Source organism: Homo sapiens, chromosome 20, assembly GCF_000001405.40.
Source record: "Homo sapiens chromosome 20, GRCh38.p14 Primary Assembly".
Lineage (NCBI taxonomy): Eukaryota > Metazoa > Chordata > Mammalia > Primates > Hominidae > Homo > Homo sapiens.
This window is the reverse complement of record NC_000020.11, coordinates 2,920,368-2,939,983: the sequence shown is the minus strand read 5'-3', so window position 1 is coordinate 2,939,983 and position 19,616 is coordinate 2,920,368. Positions and strand designations below refer to the sequence as shown.

The window sequence follows — 19,616 nt, the reverse complement described above, 5'->3', positions numbered from 1 at the left end:
CGTCCCCCACCATGCCCGGCTAATTTTTTTTGTATTTTTAGTAGAGACGGGGTTTCACCATGTTGGCCAGGCTGGTCTCGAACTCCTCACCTCAGGTGATCCGCTCGCCTTGGCCTCCCAAAGTGCTGGGATTGTAGGCGTCAGCCACCGCGCCCAGCCCTTCCCACCGATTATAACCGAACATTCTAGATGAAATTCATGACACAAGTGACAGAAAAATTCTGAAAAGTAGAAAAAAGAAGGTAGATTGGCTAGGGACCAGGGGACATGAGGACTGACCCAACAGGAAGCTCCCTACTTTTTTGTTTGGTTTGGTTTAACTTCTAATATGTCCTAGCCCAAGCTCTGAAGCCACAATCTGAAAGATCCAGTAAGCACAGACAAGAAAGTGCCAAGAAAAGCCTGCCCTCTCTAGGTAAAGAACTGGGAAAGGGGCAGCTCAGCAGACAAAAACATTTTGACCAGGCAAACTAAAAAAGGGGAGGAGGTACCCCTCCTTTTCCTCACCAGACACTGTGGCCCAGAAATTGTGAACAGCATTCTGCCTTCCAACACAACTCTGCCATAATGAGGTGGCACGCCTTTCCCCTCTTCTCCATGTTACAGCTGCAGAGAATGTGGGTGAACTCATCTTTCTCTACCCTGGAATAACCAGATGGAGTCCTAATCCCAGCAAAACTACAGAATTGGGAAAGGATTATGGTGAGGAGAGAGCTAGAGAAATGAATTCTCTGAATCTGTGTATGAAATCCTAAAAGTGCCTCTGAGCAACCCATGTGTAAAAATGACCAGAAACAACACAGCAAAAGGCATAAGAACTGAACACTGCTCCGGAATAACACCTAAATTTCAGACTGGCCTTTCGGTAGCACAGACCATAAGAGTAAAACAAGACTGAAAACTGAACCACAGTCGACAAAAGTGGGACAGGGTATGTGTTCTAAACCTAAACAGGTTGACTGTTAAATATAAAAATTTAAACAGGAACCAGAATCTCATAGCACAATATTCCAAGTGCTAGGATGCAATCCAACATTACTCATTATACCAGGAACATGAAAATCTCAACTTGAATGAAAAAAGGCAATCAACAGATGACAATACCAAGATAATATAGATTTTGGAATTATTTGAAAAGAATTTAAAACAGCGCTCATGAAACTGCTCAAACAAGACATTATAAACACTCAGCATATAGAAGACATAAGGAGTACCAAATGGAATTTTTAAAAATAAAATTTCTGAAATTAAAAAGACCCACTGGATGGGCTCAACAGCAAAAGAAAAATGATAAAGGAAACAATTAGTAAACTTAAATGAATGGAAATCATCCAGTCTGTACAAGAGAGAAAGTAGATTGAAAAGAAATGAACACAGTTTCAAAGTCCTGTGGGATAATAACAAAGATCTAACATTCATGCTATCAGGGTCCCAAGAGTAAGAGAATGAATGGAGAGATGAAAAAAAAAAATTTAAGAAATAATGGCTAAAAACTGTCTACTGGGTACGGTGGCTCGCATCTGTAATCCCAGCATTTTGGGAGGCTGAGGCAGGGGGATCACCTGAGGTCAGGAGTTCGAGACCAGCTTGGCCAACATGGTGAAACCCCATCTGTACTAAAAATACAAAAAATGAGTTGGGTGTGGTGGCGGGTGCCTGTAATCCCAGCTACTTGGGTGGCTGACGCAGGAGAATTGCTTGAACCCAGGAGGCGGAGGTTGTAGTGAACCAAGATCGAGCCACTGCCCTCCAGCCTGGGTGACACAGCAAGACTCCGTCTCAAAAAAAGGAAAAAACAAAAACAAAATCAACTATCTATCTATCTGTTTTAGAGGTGGGGTCTCACTATGTTGTCCAGGCTGGTCTCAAACTCCTGGACTCACGAAATCCTCTTACCTTGGCCTCTCAAAGTGTTGGGATTATGGGCATGAGCCACCACACTCAGCCTCAGATTTAGATATAAACTTACAGAATCAAACTTCTAAAAACTAAAGAAAAGTCCTGAAATCAATTAGAGAGAAACAACATATCACTCATAGGAGAATAACAATTTGAAAGACAACAGATTTTTCATCAGGAACCATGGAAACCACAAGGATGGATACAATATTTTTCAAATGCTGAAAGAAAATAACTATCAAGCTAAAATTCTATAGACAGTGAAAATATCCTTCAGAAATAAAAATGAAATACAAATACTGGCAGATGAACAAAACTAAAAATGTGTCACCAACAGATCAGCTTTGAAAAGAATGGCTAAAGAAACTCTATCAGAAAGGAAGTAAATGATAACAGAAGAAAACCTCAAATAGAAGTAAAGAAAAAGCAATGGAAAGGGTGTGTGTGTGTCTATATATGCATATATCCATATATATGTTATGCATATATATATGTTTATTCATATACAGACACACATACATACACTAATTAAGCAATTCTTCTCTTGAGTTTTAAAGATTATGTTTGATGGTTGAAAGTAAAAATTATAGCAGTCCCTGAAGTGGTTCTCCTTGTATGTAGAGGTAATATTTAAGACAACTGTACCATAAAGAAGGAAGGTGTGCCAGGCACAATGGCTCATGCCTGTAATCCCAGCACTTTGGGAGGCTGAGGCCGGCAGATCACGAGGTCAGGAAATCGAGACCATCCTGGCCAACATGGTGAAACCTCATCTCTACTAAAAATACAAAAATTAGCTGGGTGTGGTGGCATGCACCTGTAATCCCAGCTACTCGGAGGGGCTGAGGCAGGAGAATGGCTTGAACCCGGGAGGTGGAGATTGCAATGAGCTGAGATCACGCCACTGCACTCCAACCTGATGACAGAGCAAGACTCCGTCTCAAAAAAAAAAAAAAAGAAGAAGAAAGGTAGAAGGAACTAAAAGATTCCTTCTACTAAAACTAACTACATTCTACTTAAGGTGGTAAAAAGTTGATATTAATAGACTGTAATAAGTTATCTACATATATATTCCTAGAGCAATCACACAAAAAACTTTATAAAGAGATACACTCAAAATGAAATATTAAAAAATGTTCAAGGAACCCACTGTAAAACAGGAAAGGGGAAACAGAAGAACAAAAATAATGAATGAAACAAAAATGGCAAATTTAAATCCAAAGTATCAATAATTATATTAAATATAAATGGTTTATACATACCAACGAAAAGAAATTAGTAGAACTGATTCTTTTAAAAAAGAACCCAACTAGACCACGTGTAATGGTTTACGCTTGTAATCCCAGCACTTTGGGAGACCAAGGTAGGTGGATCACTTCAGCCCAAGACTTCGAGACCAGCCTGGGCAACATGGCAAAACCCTGTCTCTACCAAAAAAACCCCAAACAAAACAAAAATTAGCCAGGCATGATGGCATGCATCTGTAATCCCAGCTACTCAGGAGGCTGAGGTGGAGGGCTGATTGAGCCTAGGAGGTTGAGGCTGCAGTGAGCCATGATTGCACCACGGCACTCCAGCTTGGGTGACAAAAGTGAGACCCTGTCTCAAAAAAAAAAGACCTAGGCCAGGCATGGTGGCTCATGCCTATAATACCAACACTTTGGGAGGCCCAGGCAGGCATACTGCTTGAGCCCAGGAGTTCAAAACCAGCCTGGGCAACATAGCAAGACCCTGTCTCTATTAAAAAAAGAAAAGAAAAGACCCAACTATATGCTATCTATAAGAAACTTACTTCAAATATAGTTATGTGTCACTCAGTAAGGACACATTCTGAGATATGCACCATTATACAATAAGGTGAGAAGGTAAATAAGTACAGCCATTATGGAAAACATGTATGGAGGTTCCTCAAAAAATTAAAAATAAGGCTGGGTGCAGGGGCTCATGGCTATAATGTCAGCACTTTGGGAGGCCAAGACAGGAAGACTGCCTGAAGCCAGGAGTTTGAGACCAGACTGGTCAATATTGTGAGACCCTGTCTCTACAAACGATTTTTTTTTTTTTTGAGTTGGATTTTCACTCTTGTCGCCCAGGCTGGAGTGCAATGGCGAGATCTTGGCTTACTGCAACCTCTGCCTCCCGGGTTCAAGTGATTCTCCTGCCTCTCAGCCTCCCAAGTAGCTGGGATCATAGGCATGCACAGCCACGCCCGGCTAATTTTTTTGTATTTTTAGTAGAGATGGGGTTTTACCATGGCAGTCAGGCTAGTGTCAAACTCCTGACTTCAGGTGATCCACCCGCCTAGGCCTCCCAAATTGCTGGGATTACAGGCGTGAGCCACCACACCTGGACTCTACAAACAATTTTTAAAAATTAGCTGACTATAGTGGCATGTGCCTGTAGTAGCGAAGCTGAAGTAGATCACTTGAGCTTACAGTGAGTTATGATTGCAGAACTGTGCTACAGCCTTGGAGACACAGCGAGACCCTGTCTCTAAACAAACAAAATTAAAAAACAAAAAAAAATTTAAATAGAACTACTATATGATTCAGTAATTCCCCCTATTGGATATATATCTAAAGGATATAACTAATATGGGTATGTTGAAGAGATATCTGTACTACTATGTTCATTGCAGCATTATTCACAATAGCTAAGATATGAAATCAACCTAAGTGTTTTCATTCATTGATGGATGAATGGTGAAAGAAAATGTGGCATACATACACAATGGAACACTATTCAGCCTTAAAAAAAGAATAAATTCTGTCATTTGTGATAACATGGATAAACCTGGAGGACATTATGTTAAACGAAATAAGCCAGACATAGAAAGACAAATATCACATGATCTCACTTACACGTGGAATGTAAAAAGTTGAATTCATAGAAATAGAGAGTAAAATGGTGGTTACTAGAGGTTGGTGGGTAGGGGAATTGGGGAAATACTGAACAAAGGACACAAAATTCAGTTAGGAGGAATAAGTTCAAGAGATCTATTGTACATCATGGTGACTACAGTTAATAACAATATATTGTATGTATTTTTAAAAAGGATATTAATATGTTATTTTTATTGAACAAAGTAGCATTACAGAAAAGGTGATTTCAGGGGCCGGGCACAGTGGCTCACCACTCTAATCCCAGCACTTTGGGAGGCTAAGGCAAGCAGATCACCTGAGGTCAGGAGTTTGAGATCAGCCTGACCAACATGGCGAAACACCGTCTTGACTAAAAATACAAAAATTAGCTGGGTGTGGTGGCGTATGCCTGTAATTCCAGCTACTCGGGAGGCTGAGACAGGAGAATTGCTCGAATCAGGGAGTCAGAGGTTGCAGTGTGCTGAGATGGCGCCACTGCACTCCAGCCTGGTGACAGAGCGAGACTCCATCTCAAAAAAAAAAAAAAAAAAAAAGGTTCTAATTGAAAGCCCTTGGGTGAAGCATACCTGGGAACCTGTACTACTGCAGCTTTCTGAGTCTTAAATTATTAAAAAATAAAATGTTTTAAAAAAAGTTCACATATACAAATAGGTGAGTGTAGTCTAGGCATTATTTAAAACAAATAATGAACAAGTATTTGCACTATGAGATTATATTAATACAATAATATGTGGCAATGGTACAGATACAGATTTATAAACAAGGAAGTCTGTATACATAAGTATTGGGAATATGATAAAAAATACCCGGTGGCTCATGCCTTGTAATCCTAGTACTTTGGGAGGCCGAAGTGGGCAGGTCGCTTGAGCCCAGGAGTTCAAGACCAGGCTCAGCAACATGGTGAAATATAGTCTCTACAAAAAAATGCAAAAATTAGCTGGGTGTAGTGGCACTTCTGTAGTCCCAGCTACTTGAGAGGCTGAGGTGGGACAATCACCTGAGCCTGGGGAGGTAGATGCCGCAGTGAGCCATGATTGTGCCACTGTACTCCAGCCTGGACAAAATCATTTAGGAATCCGCAGAAAATTTTCATAGATTATTTAGTAAACAGTACTAGAAACTGCTGAACTACTCAGCAAAAATTAGGTCTCTATTTCATGCAATATTCCAAAATGGTTTAAAGTTTTAAGTATATAAATAACAATAATACAATGGAATGTAAATAAGTACCAATAAACTATAAAACAATTTGAAGAAAACATTTGAAAATATTTGTCTGTTCTCAGGCTGAGGTAGCCTTCCTAAATATTAAAAAGAAATATTTAATAGTTTCTAATACATAAGATATTTAAACTCTTATGTGTCAACAAAACATCATAAACTGAAAATAAATCAAAATAAGAAATCTGAAAGAAAATGTTTAAATTAAAAAAACTAGAAAAGGCTGGCCATGGTGGCTGCATCTGTAATCCCAGCACTTTGGGAGGCTGAGGGAGGCAAATCACTTGAGGTCAGGAGTTTTGAGACCACCCTAGCCAACATCGTGAAACCCCATCTCTACAAAAATTATAAAAATTAGCTGGGCGTGGTGGCGTGCGCCTGTAATCCCAGCTACTTGGGAGGCTGAGACACAAGAATCATTTGACCCCAGAAGGTGGAGGTTGCAGTGAGCAGAGATGGCACCACTGCATTCCAGCCTGGGTAACAGAGTGATGATCTGTCTCAAAAAAAAAACCCAACCAACCAACCAACCAACCAACCAACCAAAAGAAAGAACCCCAAAAAACAAGCTAGAAAAAACATTTGCAAAATGTTACAGGCAAAAGGTTAAATAACCTTATTAAATGAGGTATTTACAAATTAGTAAGTACAAACACAACCATGGAAAGATGGATAAAAGCTATGAATAGGCAATTCATAAAAAGTAAAATAATGATAAACAACTGAAAAAATTCATCTTTGCTAACAAAGAAAAGCAAATTAAAGCAACATGGTACTTTTCTTACCTCTCAAATAGGCATGTATTTATAAAAGTGACAAAATTTAAATGTTCATAAGCTAAGGGGAAAAGAACCTCAAAGTGTACTGCTATAATTGTAATCTCTCTGACATTTATGTAATCTACTGATTTGGGACTTAGTCTATAATGCCATGTGCCATTTGCTAAACTTGCTTTTTACATATATGATCTATCTCCCCAATAAAACCAGAAACCTCAGGATAGTAGCTTTTACTTTTTTTTCCCAAGATTAAAATAAAAACCAACAGGTAGTAGGCATCCAATATTGTTTTTAATGATGTTAGTGAAAATTATAAAACCTCTGAATCAGAGAAGAGTGAATAAAAGTACACCCCCAGCCTACAACTCCCTAATCTACAGAAAGTGCCATCCTGATTCCTGGATTATACTTACCATCTGGTTCCACCATTCCTATCTCAGGCTGCCAACTACTGCTTAGGAGTATCACACTCCTCAGTGCTGTGCAGAAAACATATCCTTCCTTTGTCAGTTTCCTATGTCAGTTTCTAGCACAGCAGCCCAAGCTCCCTCTGAGCAGATGGCTGACAAGAGGACATGACCTCTCTCTCCTCTATAGAGCCTCTATTCTCCCTTTTTAGACTAGAGGAAGAGATTCCCTCATCCTTTTTAAGGCTACTGCCCATGTTCTTGATCCCATTTGAGATCTTTCCCCTAAAATTATGCATTTCCTTCTGGTACTTTCCATTTTTCCATCCCTAACCCTCATACCCCTTTGTTTACAAATAGACACGGATGTTCTAAACAGATTTTTAGAGCTTTAACTCTATGAGCTTCTCTTTTCCTCATTACTACTAAACTTGTATAAGATGTACTTGGCTTTCATTTCCTCACTTTCCACCTCTACTTAACAACCTCATTATGATCTTAATTCCTTCATTCTCCCTTAACAACCTCATTATGTTCTTAAATCCTTCGTTCTCAAATCTACAAATAACCTCCTGATTAAATCTAATTCCTGCCCTCAGTTTTCATTCTCCTTGACTTGCATTTGACATGTTATGGTCAACTTATTCTCAAAAGCTTCTCTGTTTCCTGGTTCTCTTTGACACAATGACTACTCAATTTTAGCTTTTCTTCTACCATTCACACATCAAAATTTTATTTGGGTCCTATTAAGGACCAGGCATTGGATTAAATGTTAGGGGATGCAAGGAAGAAAAAAGTTAAAGTTCTTATTCTCAAGTTGATGTGTTCATTTTCCAAGTCGGTCAGTCAGTCAGTCATTCAACAGACTTCCATTGAAAAGCCAGGCACTGTGCTAGATGATGGCCTTTAAAAAGCCAGGGCCATTGGTGCATGCCTGTAGTCCCAGCAACTCAGGAGGCCTGAGGGAGGAGGTTCGTTTGAGGCTGCAGTGAGCTATGATTATGCCATGGCACTCATGCCTGGGTAACAGAATGAGACCCAGTCTCTTACACACACACACACACACACACACACACAAGCCAAGACCCGTCCCTGCCTTCACTGAGTTCATGGCAAAGGAAGTAAGTAAGCAATGCCACATTTGTTCCAGGTGTCATGACAGAGAAGTCAAATCCATTTGTTTCAGGGGCTAGGGAATGAGGGTCTACAGTATTGGCTTCCTGATCTTCTGTTCTTCTCGCCATATCCTTTCTCCCACACAAAGGCTCAAATCAAAACAAAGGGTTTTGATTATCACCTCCATTATCTCACTTCTGAACATACATCACCATTCTCCAAGTGCCTGCTGACTGTCTATCACCTTACACTGTAAACCAAATTAATTACCTTCCCTTTAAACCCAATTTATTCTCTAGACATCTTTATTTCTGTTAAGGATTCCACCACTGTCTCAGACTCTCCGGTGCCAGTTTACATACTACTTTTTCGAAATGTCTCTTTTCCCAGGTTCTCTCTGGTCTTTCTACTTGCATAACCACCAACCCATTTCATGCCTCTATCACCTCACACCCAGTGTTACATCCAAGCTAGGCTAAATCATCTGACTCACAGGGAGAGAGAGGGAGCTTTTAAAAAACAGTCCTGGGTCTCCAGTCTGAAGATTTGGGTTTGGGATATCTTGAGTGGGAGCCCCAGAATCCTGGTTTTCCATAACATTGATCTGGTCCAGACTCCCAGTGGTCCAGACTCTGGTCTACTGACTTCCAGTGCAGCTAACATCTCTCCAACCCCATCCCCAAGGAGTCTTCCTAAAGTGTTAGATTCATCCTGCTCAAAGTTTTCAATGGTTTCCCACTGAATAAACAATAGATTTGAAAATATCTGGATTGATATATAGGAAATGCTTCACAGTTTGGCCCCTGTTATGGGTTGAACTATGCCTCCCCAAAAAAGATATGAAGTCCTAATCCCCAGTACCATAGGATGTGACCTTATTTGGAAATAGGGTCGTTGAAGATGTAATTAGTTAAATAAAGATGAGGTCATTCTGGAGTACTGTGGGCCCCTAATCCAATATGACTGGTGTCCTTATAAGAAGATAATCATGTGAAAACAGACAGGGAAAATGCCAATTGAAGAAAGAGGATTTGAGTGATCATTTACAATCCAAATAACACAGGGGGCTCTTGGAAGCTAAGGAGAGATGCATGGGACAGATTCCCCCCAAGAAGGAACCAACACTGCCAACACCTTGACTTTGGGCCTCCAGAACTGCCAGACAATATATTTCTGCTGTCTTTAGCCACCGAGTTTATGGTACTTTGTTTGGGCAGCACCAGGAAATTAATATGGGTCCCCAAACTACATTTGCAACCTCATCTTTCACTGTTGAACTCACTCTCTGTTAAAGTCAAACTGGTGTAAAATTCTTACACTACTGAGCTTTTCTTTCATAAGCACTCTACTTCTGGAATCCTTTTTTCACCTACCACAAAATCATACCATATGTTAGTGGCCAGCTCGTATTTTACTTTGTCTCGATGCTTCCCATCCATCCTGCTATTCTCAGTAATGGCACTACATGCACAATACAACGAAATGCATAATAATTTACCAAATGCTGCAATGCACCAAGCCTTCTTAAATGTCTATATTCATTTGGTAGGGCTGCCATAAAAGTATCACAGACTCGGTGGGTTCAACAACAGAAATTTATTTTCTCACAGCTGTACAGGCTAGAAGTCCAAGATGAAAGTGTCAGCAAGTTTGGTTTCCTATGAGACCTCTCTCCTTGGCCTGCAGATGGCCACCATCTTACTGTATCCTCACCTGGTCATTCCTCTGTGTATTTGTTTCTGATGTCTGCGTGTACAAATTTCCTTTTCTTACAAGGACACCAGTCACATCAAATTAGAGCCCACCCTAAAGACCTCTTTTAATCAACTACTTAAAATTTTTTTTTCCTTTCTTTGAGACAGGGTCTTGTTCTGTTACTCAGGCTGGAGTGCAGTGGTGCAAACATGGCTTACTGCAGCCTCGAGCTCCTGGGCTCAAGCAATCCTCCCACTTCAGGCTCTGGAATAGCTGGGACCACGGGCATGTACTACCACGCCTGGGTAATTTGTGCATTTTTTGTAGAGATGGGATCTCCCCATGTTTCCCAGGCTGGTCTCAAACTCCTGAGCTCAAGCAATCCTCCTGCCTCAGCCACCCAAAGTACTAAGATTACAAACATGAGCTACCATGCCCGGTCTTTAAAGACCATCTCCAAGAACATTTTATGGTCATTTTCTTAAATATCAGTACATAAAATCCTACCACACTCTCATTAATGACCACACAGTGTTCAAAAGAAGGGATGGGACACACATCAAGCAAATAAAAAGGAATGTGTGAACACACAACAGAGGCTAAATAAAACTGAAGAAATACAAAGAACAAAAGAGTATTACAGGGCCAATGCTGTGGTCAACTATTAACGTTCATACAGGAAAAGAAAGCGGGGAGAAGACTAGTTTAAGAAACAGTAAAAGAAAAAACAGCAGGCCAGGTGTGGTGGCTCACACCTGTAATCCCAGCACTTTGGGAGGCTGAGGCAGGTGGATCGCTTGAGCCTAGGAGTTCAAGACCAGCCTGGCAACATGGTGAAACCCTGTCTCTACTAAAAAATACAAAAATTAGCCAGGTGTGGTGGCATACTCCTGTAGTCCCCAGAGGCAGAAGGATCACTTGAGCTCAGGAGTTTGAGACCAGCCAGGGCAACACAGTGAGACCCTGTCACTACTAAAAATAAAAAAAATTAGCTGGGTGTAGTAGCGCATGCCTATAGTTCCAGCTACTTGGAAAGCTGAGGTGGGAGGATTGCTTGAACCTGGGAGCTCGAGGCTGCAGTGAGCTGTGATGGCACCACTGAACTCCAGTCTGGGCCACAGGGTGAGACCCTGTCTCAAAAAAAAAAAAAAAAAGAGAGAAAAAAAGATTAGGAGATAAAGTTATGACAATCTCCAGGAAAACAACCAAAAGCAAAGAGTTTTTAAAAAGGACAGAATAGATAAGAACATTATATGAACAACCCAGGAAGCTCAATATCAGAAAGCTGCTGACAGAAAAGAACCAAAAAATGGAGAGCTATGAGTCTGCAGATCTATTAAGGGGCCCACCAAGTACACCTCTATGGAATTCCAGACTATATAGAACATAAAAGCTTCCAGAAAAGAAGAAAAATTAATTTCCTATATGAAACTTTCTATTTCTCATGAACAACAAGGGATGTCAGAAGAAATGGAGCAATGACTTCAAAGTTTTGAGGAAAAATAATAGGCAACCTAGAATTCTATAGTCAACCAAACCATCACTCCAACATGAGGGTCTTAAAAACAGACACCAGAGGCTGGGTACGGTGGCTCACGCCTGTAATCCCAGCACTTTGGGAGGCCAAGGAGGGCAGATCAGCTAACACAGTGAAACTCCATCTCTACTAAAAATACAAAAAATTAGCCAGGCGTGGTGACAGGCGCCTATAGTCCCAGCTACTTAGGAGGCTGAGGCAGGAGAATGGCATGAACCTGGGAGGCGAAGCTTGCAGTGAGCCAAGATCGCGCCACTGCACTCCAGCCTGGGCAACAGAGCGAGACTCCGTCTCCAAAACAAACAAACAACAACAACAACAACAACAAAAAACGGATACCAGAAAGAGTCAAAATTTATCTGCCAGGTACCTTTTCTCTCAGTAAGTGACTTGAGAATGAACTCTGGTAAGATAGATTGATTGACTGATTGATTGACTGAGATGGAGTCTCACTCTGTCGCCTAGGCTGCAGTGCAATGGTATGATCTTGGCTCACTGCAACCTCCACCACCCGGGTTCAAGCAATTCTCCTGCCTCAGCCTCCCGACTAGCTAGGATTACAGGCACCCACCACCACGCCTGGCTAATTTTTGTATTTTTAGTAGAGACAGGGTTTTGCCGTGTTGGCCAGGCTGGTCTTGAACTCCTGGCCTCAAGTGATCCACCTGCCTCAGCCTCCCAAAGTGCTGGGGTTACAGGCATGAGCCACCATGCCCCCTAGCCTCTAGTAAGATTTAAAAAACAAATACAAAGAAAGACTGATATCCAAGATCAGTGGACCCAACCTCCCCTGCACCCCCGTCAAAGAAAAACCAGTAAGGAAAATACCAATATGACTGTGTAGACAGCCTAAAAAACAGTGCCCACTGGTCTCGGATTGGAGTGTACGACTAGCCTAAATTTGGGCCACAGTGTATGGTTTGAACTAGCCTTGACAGGCTGGAGTGTATGATTGAGATCTTGGTGAAAAGTGAAACTATAATAACAGGCAAATAGACAAGAAAATTAGAAACTCCAGGGAGAAAATTTTATGAGAAAGTTACGGTTCAAATATAAAATATAAAGACATGATTGGAAGCAACTGATAGTTTCAGAGAGAGAATTCACTTTTTCTTCATTTTCTCATTTGAATAGCCCAGGGTCTATGACATTGAACCTACAGAGAAAGAAATAAAAACCCAGAAAATGCTGCCTGGCCTGACAGTGAACAATATTTACTTAGCTATAATAACATAAATATTAAGTGGGCGCGGCACTCACGACTGTAATCCCAGCACTTTGGGAGGCTGAGGAGGGCGATCATGAGGTCAGGAGATCCAACAGGTGAAACCCTGTCTCTACTAAAAATACAAAAATTAGCCAGGTGTGGTGGCATATGCCTGTAATCCCAGCACTTTGGGAGGCCGAGGCGGGCGGATCACTTGAGGCCAGAAGTTTGAGACCAGCTTGGCCAACAAGGTGAAAACCTGGCTCTACTAAAAATACAAAAATTAGCCGGGCGTGGTGGCGGGTGCCTGTAATCCCAGCTACTTGGGAGGCTGAGGCAGGAAAATCACTTCAGCCTAGGAGGCAGAGGTTGCAGTGAGCCAAGATCACACCACTGTACTCCAGCCTGAGCGACAGACCAAGACTCTGTCTCAAAAAAATAAAAAGTAAAAAAAAAAAAAAAAAAAAAAAAGGAAAAGGAAAAAGGAAAGGAAGAAAGAAGGAAAGAGTGCTGAAAATTAACCTAAAAAAAGGAGGTTGAAGAGTACTTCCGAAAGTTAGAAATGTAATCACTTTATGGGTTTGTTTTGTTTTGTTTTTGAGACAGAGATTTGTTCTGTCACCCAGACTGAATTGTGTCCCCTAAAAGATGTTAAAATTGTAACCCCCTACTCAGTTCCTGTGAATGTGAACTTATTTAGAAAGAGGATTTTTGCATATGATCAAGTTGAGATGAGCTCATTAGGGTGGTCCCTAATCCAATGACTAGCGCACTTATTTTGAAAAAGGAAATTTGGACACAAGAGACAGATATGCATAGAGGGAAGACAATCTGAAGATACAGAGAGAATGCCATCTACAATGTAAGGGATGCCTGAGGCTACCAGAAGCTAGAAGAAAATCATAGAACAGATTCTCCCGCACAGCCCGCAAGACTTCTAGCCTCCAAAACTCTGAGACAATAAATTTCTATTGTTTAAGCCACCCAGTTCATGGAGTTTTGTTACAGAAGTCTGAGGAAACTAATAAACAGCAGCAGAACAGGAAATAATACAAATATTAAATGGGGGGATAGTGTAAGGTAAATTCCCATTTTTTCACACTGGAGAGGCAAAGAATTATGTTGTCTTTTTTATTAATAAAAGAATTAAGAAGAAACAGCATATACATATAATTTAGAATTATGGAGGTCACCAAAAAGCAGAATGTAAAGAAATTGAAGCCCTTGTGCATTGCTGGTGGGAATATAAAATGATGCAGTACTGTGAAAAACAGCATGGTGATTCCTCAAAAAATGAAACATGGAGTTACCATATGATCCAGTAATTTTACTTCTAAGAATATACTCAAAAGAACTAAAAGCAGGGACTCGAACAGATGTTTGTACATCCATGTGTTTTTTTTTGTTTTTGTTTTTGTTTTTTCAATTGAGACAGCCTCACTCTGTCACCCAGGCTGGAGTGCAGTAGCACCATCTGGGCTCACTGCAACCTCTACCTCCTAGGTTCAAGCGATTCTCCTGCCTCAGCCTCCCAAGTAGCTGGGAATTACAGGCATGCAGCACCATGCCTGGCTAATTTTTGCATTTTTGGTAGAAATGGGGTTTTGCCATGTTGTCCAAGCTGGTCTTGAACTCCTGACCTCAAGTGATCCGCCTGCCTCGGCCTCCCAAAGTGCTGGGATTACAGGCGTGAGCCACCACACTCAGCCTACACCCATGTTCATAGCACCATTAGTCACAACAGCCAAAAGGTGGAAGCAGCCCAAGTGTCCATCAGTGAATGAATGGATACACATAAAGTGGTATAAACATACAACAGAATATTATTCAACCATAAAATGTAAATTCTGATATATGCTACAACATGGATGACTTGAAAACAAGGTCATCCTATGTGAAATAAACAAGATACCTTTGTGAAATAAACCTATGTGAAACAAACCAGATGTCAAATGACAAATATGATTCCACTTATACGAGGTAACTATTATAGTCAAATTCATAGAGACAGAAGGTAGAATGGTTGCCAGCAGCTGGGGGAGGAGGAAATGGGGAGTTAGTGTTTAATGGATATGGAGTTTCAGTTTGGGGAGATGAAAAAGTTTTGGAGATGGACAGTGGTGATGGCTGCACAACAGGAATGTACTTAATGCCAATGAATTGTATACTTTAAAAGTAGTTAAAATGATAAATTTAATCTTATATATATTTTACCATGAGAAAAGTATGTATATGAACACATTAAGATGTAAAACCTTTTCAGGCCGGGCGCGGTGGCTCATGCCTGTAATCCCAGCACTTTGGGAGGCAGAGGCAGGCGGATCATGAGGTTGGGCAATCGAGACCATCCTGGCCAACATGGTGAAACTCTGTCTCTATTAAAAATACAAAAATTAGCTGGGCGTGGTGGCGCGTGTCTGTAATCCCAGCTACTTGGGAAGCTGAGGCAGGAGAATTGCTTGAACCCAGGAAGCGGAGGTTGCAGTGAGCTGAGATCACACCACTGCACTCCAGCCTGGTGACATAGCAAGACTCAGTCTCAAAAAACAAAACAAAACACCTTTTCGGTGCTGCAGAGGCTCTCTCATACCTCTTTCCAGTCACAACCTCCCACCTCCTGTCAGAGGAAGTAGGGATATGACCTTTATCACTGTAGTTTAGTTTTACTCGGTAATTCTGCTACATCTACTTTTTCTTGTCCATCTGGTTTCTTTCACTCAACCTTTTATCTACGAGATTCATCCATGTTGTCATGTCTACTGGTAGTTTGTTCCTTTCTATTACTGAATAAAATTCCATGTTATCAATAGTGTATGTCAATTTTTTGTTGTTGTTGATACATAGTCTCGCCCTGTTGCCCAGATTGGATGGAGTGCAGGGGCGTGATCTCACCTCACTGCAACTTCTGCCTCCTGGCTTCAAGCCATTCTCCTGTCTTAGCCTCCTGAGTAGCTGGGATTACAGGCGTGAGCCACCACACTCAGCTCATTTTTGTAATTTTAGTAGAGATGGGGTTTCACCATGTTGACCAGGCTGGTCAACTGATCTGCCCGCCTTAGCCTCCCAAGTGCTTAGATTACAGGTGTAAGCCACCACACCTGACCATATATCACAATTTGTTTAACTATTCTCCTGTTTTTGGACACCTGATTGGGTTACAGTTTTTCTGGCTATAATACATAAAGCTGCAGTGAACATTTGTATGTGCACTTTTGTGTAGACATATATTTTTCATTTCTCAAAGGTGGATACCTAGAATTGAAATTCCTGGGTTATTAGATACGTGTATGTTTTGCAGATATTGCCAAAGAGTTTTCTAAAACTATAGAGTTGGTTTACATTCCCACTTAAAAAACTTGGAGATCATCTGTGATCTACTCAAGAAGCTTTAATTCAATGCTGGCAGGGCATTAACTTTGGTCTTTTTATTTTTATTTTTTTGAGAAGGAGTTTCATTCTTTGGTGCCCAGAATGGAATGCAGTGTGCGATCTCAGCTCACTGCAACCTCTGTCTCCTGGGTTCAAGGGATCCTCCTGCTTCAGCCTCCCGAGTAGCTGGGATTACAGGCACATGCCACCACATCTGGCTAATTTTTGTATTTTTGGTAGAGATGGGGTTTCACCATGTTGGCCAGGCTGGTCTTGAACTCCTGACCTCAAGTGATCTGCCCGCCTCGGCCTCCCAAAGTGCTGGGATTACAGGCGTGATCCACCATGCCCAGCCTGACTTTGGTCTTTTTTTTTAAAAAAAAAAAGCTCTTCAAGTGATTCTGATTCATAATCAGGTTAAGAAGTATCTTAAAGGATAATTACAATGTTTATAATAATAAAAAAATAAGCTACTCTTACAGCTTAGAAACGAAATGAAGCAGGAAAGCATGTGATGTTAGCTTTATTTAAGGACACTACTTGGCTGGCAAAAGCCTCCTCACAGTTCTGGTTTTATTTCTCTTACCTTAGTTATTTGAACTGCATCATCCATTACCACTCAGTGGAATTCCATAAATACCTTTGTTTTTTTTTAGTTGTGTCACCTGCAACAAAAGGAAAAATACCTTTAGAAATATACAACATCCCTGAGCAGATTGTTCTAGCTTAGGAATTCAAGCCCAGCCTAGGCAACATGCAAAATCCCATCTCCACAAAAAGTAGCCAGGCAGGGTGGCACATGCCTATAATCCCAGCTACTTAGCAGGCTGAGGTGGGAGGACTGCTTGAGCCCAGAAGGTGGAGTTTCCAGTGAGCTGAGATTGTGCCACTGCACTCCAGCCTGGGAACAGAATGAGACCCAGTCTCAAAAGAAAATAGCCAGGAGCGGTGGCTCATGCCTGTAATCCCAGCACTTTGGGAGGCCGAGGTGGGTGGATCACTTGAGGTCAGGAGTTTGAGACCAGCCTAGCCAACATGCTGAAATCCTGCATCTACTAAAAATACAAAAATTAGCTGGGCATGGTGGCACGCATCTCTAATCTCAGCTGTTCAGGAGGCTGAGGTAGAATTGCTTGAACCCGGGAGGCAGAGGCTGCAGTGAGCCCAGATCGCGCCACTGCACTCCAGCTCAGGCGACAAAGTCAGACTCCATCTCAAAAAGAAAAATAAGGCCAGGTGCGGTGGCTCATGCCTATAATCCCAGCACTTTGGGAGGCCGAGGCAGGCGGATCACCTGAGAAGTCAGGAGTTCGAGACCAGCCTGGCCAACATGGTGAAACCCCGTCTCTACCAAAAATACAAAAATTAGCCAGGCACGGTGGTGGGTGTCTGTAATCCCAGTTACTTGGGAGGCTGAGGCAGGAGAATTGCTTGAACCCAGGAGGGGGAGGTTGCAGTGAGCCGAGATCGTGACAGTGTACTCCAGCCTGGGCAACAGAGTGAGACTCCATCTCAATCAATCAATCAATCAATCAATAAAACAGCCCTATTTAAACATTATGGATTGTTTTGGAGAGTGGAGTATATCCTAACAAGATGTTTCACAGGGGTGTGCTTAAAATTCCAGGAGCCACAGAACAAAGCTCCATCTTAAATAGTTCAGATTTCTGAATAGCTCATAGGTCTTTCCAGTAAGGGTAGTATAGAACACTCCTCCCTGTCCCAAAACTTGGACTATGCCACCATAGGGTTGTTTATATACCATTAGGCCCTTCCCTAGGGAACATATGGCAGTGTCTAAAGATAGTTTTGACTGTCACAACTAATAGCAGGGAGGCTGGGCTACTGGCATCTAGGGGATAGAGGCCTAGGATGCTGCTAAGCATCTTACAAATCACAGGACAACCCCCTATAACAAAGTATCCAGTCCCAAATGTCAACAATGCCAAGGCTGAAAATCTCTACATTGATCAAAGATCTATCTCTAGTCAATGACTGTGCAAAGTGGTAGTACAAGAGCCTAGCCATTTCTACCTCTTGTGGTATTCCTCTATCAGGCAATCTGGGTGGGCAGAGACTTCGTCAGGTGTGCACTGCAGTCTGATGGCTCCCTATACCCAAACATGTTCCGTTCCCCTTTTCTTCACAGGCATTACTCCTCTAATAAGCCCTTTGCCCCTCCAACCCCATCTGTGTCTGCTTCCTGTAGAATCCAGCTGGCACATAAATTAACATTCACGTTCACACTGAATGGAGTGCGCATTCACATTGTTGGAGAAACAAGAATCACTGGGGGGAAAAAAGAGTCCCAATAAATAAACCAAAATGTTAAAAATTCTAAACTTTTGTACTATCCAGTATTCCATAACAACCATCTATTATTTATACATAATAAAGAAAATATTAAAGTAAGACTTTATACTAGATTTTGCTCGTGAAGACATGTTCTAATGGCAGGCTAAATTGGTATACTCTGTATATACAGTGTACCCAAATTCAAGGAAGGGTGAACAACTGTTGGTGTTCTTCAAAAAAAAAAAAAAAAAAAAGCGCATTCCCAGGTACTAAGGAAATAAAAGATCAGACAATGGGCTTCACAGACATCTCGTAAGCTCAGCTTCCTCATTTGTTAAATCAAAGTTGTACTATTAATAGTTTAAACTAAAAACTTTTAGAAGAGACTACAGAGCCCATTCAGTTTGCCCTCCTGCTTTCAGAGATGAGACCAATGTCCCAGACAGAACGACAGTAACCGGGCAAGCAAAGCAGAGTTGTTGGCCTTGCTTCTCAATGCCTGGGTCCATTTCTCTTTCCAGGTACAATGTAATGCACCTAAATGAAGAAAGCACATTAAGCAAACAGTTCCAAAAAGGTTACAATATTAAGATTATTCCAAGAACTATTCAAAATCTAGCCCTTCACTCCATCATGAAAACTGAATGGTGGCATCTGATACTGCCATTCCAGGCTTTCTTTCTGAGTACTCACTCCCTCAGCACATAAATAGCCTCAAGGCTTTAACATCTTAAAAAAACCTCTCTAGAACAAACTACATTCCCAATGCCCCCCATCCCAGCCATCACTTTCCCCCCTTTCCTCCCGGTCAATATTCTCAATAGTTCATACTCTCCCACCTCAAACCAGGGGCCTCTGACATACACCCTCACCTGGCCTCTACAGAAACTGCTCTTGATTCATCAGTCAACAATGATCTCAAATTACAGGATCTGACCACCCTAAAATTCCCATCATCACTCCCTCAGAATTTCCTCTCCTCAGCAGAAGCACCTAGAACTATCCCTTAAATGTTGGTGTTCCTGGTGTCCCATCTTCCAATCTTCTCACTCTGTACCAGTGGCTGCACATTAGAGTTGCTGGGGGAGCTTTCAAAAAATTCTGGTGCCCAAGTCCAGCTCAGGTGCATCATAATCTTGGGAAAGAGGGAGTTGGGGTTGGGTTCCTGGAAATGTCTGTCTGGTTTTGTTTGGTTTTAAGCACTACAGG

At 41.6% G+C, this 19,616-nt stretch overlaps 1 protein-coding gene across 28 annotated transcripts in view, besides 2 other annotated features; it reads right to left on the bottom strand.

Moving 5' to 3' along the window:
- Positions 1-19,616, bottom strand: part of PTPRA (protein tyrosine phosphatase receptor type A) — a 174,486-nt gene that overhangs the window by 98,686 nt on the left and 56,184 nt on the right. For 25 of the 28 annotated variants that reach the window (NR_170936.1, NM_002836.4, NM_001388321.1 and 22 more), the window contains one exon: positions 16,699-16,777. The exons of the other annotated variants lie outside the window; for them this stretch is intronic. Coding sequence is in view for 7 of the 25 variants with exons in the window: in NM_001385302.1 (NP_001372231.1) it covers positions 16,699-16,725 (27 nt within the window). In the remaining 18 variants the exon portion in view is untranslated. The remainder of the gene's footprint in view (positions 1-16,698; positions 16,778-19,616) is intronic. 28 annotated transcript variants of the gene reach the window in all.
- Positions 2,647-2,941: a silencer, noted in NCBI's record as "tiled region #1396; K562 Repressive non-DNase unmatched - State 15:Elon". NCBI's record gives its function as "represses a minimal TATA promoter and a strong SV40 promoter by Sharpr-MPRA in K562 cells {active_cell/tissue: K562}" and the evidence as "EXISTENCE:reporter gene assay evidence [ECO:0000049][PMID:27701403]".
- Positions 16,755-17,255: an enhancer, noted in NCBI's record as "H3K27ac hESC enhancer chr20:2903375-2903875 (GRCh37/hg19 assembly coordinates)". NCBI's record gives its function as "activates a minimal SCP1, AML or CMV promoter by ChIP-STARR-seq in naive H9 embryonic stem cells {active_cell/tissue: H9 hESC(naive)}" and the evidence as "EXISTENCE:reporter gene assay evidence [ECO:0000049][PMID:30033119]".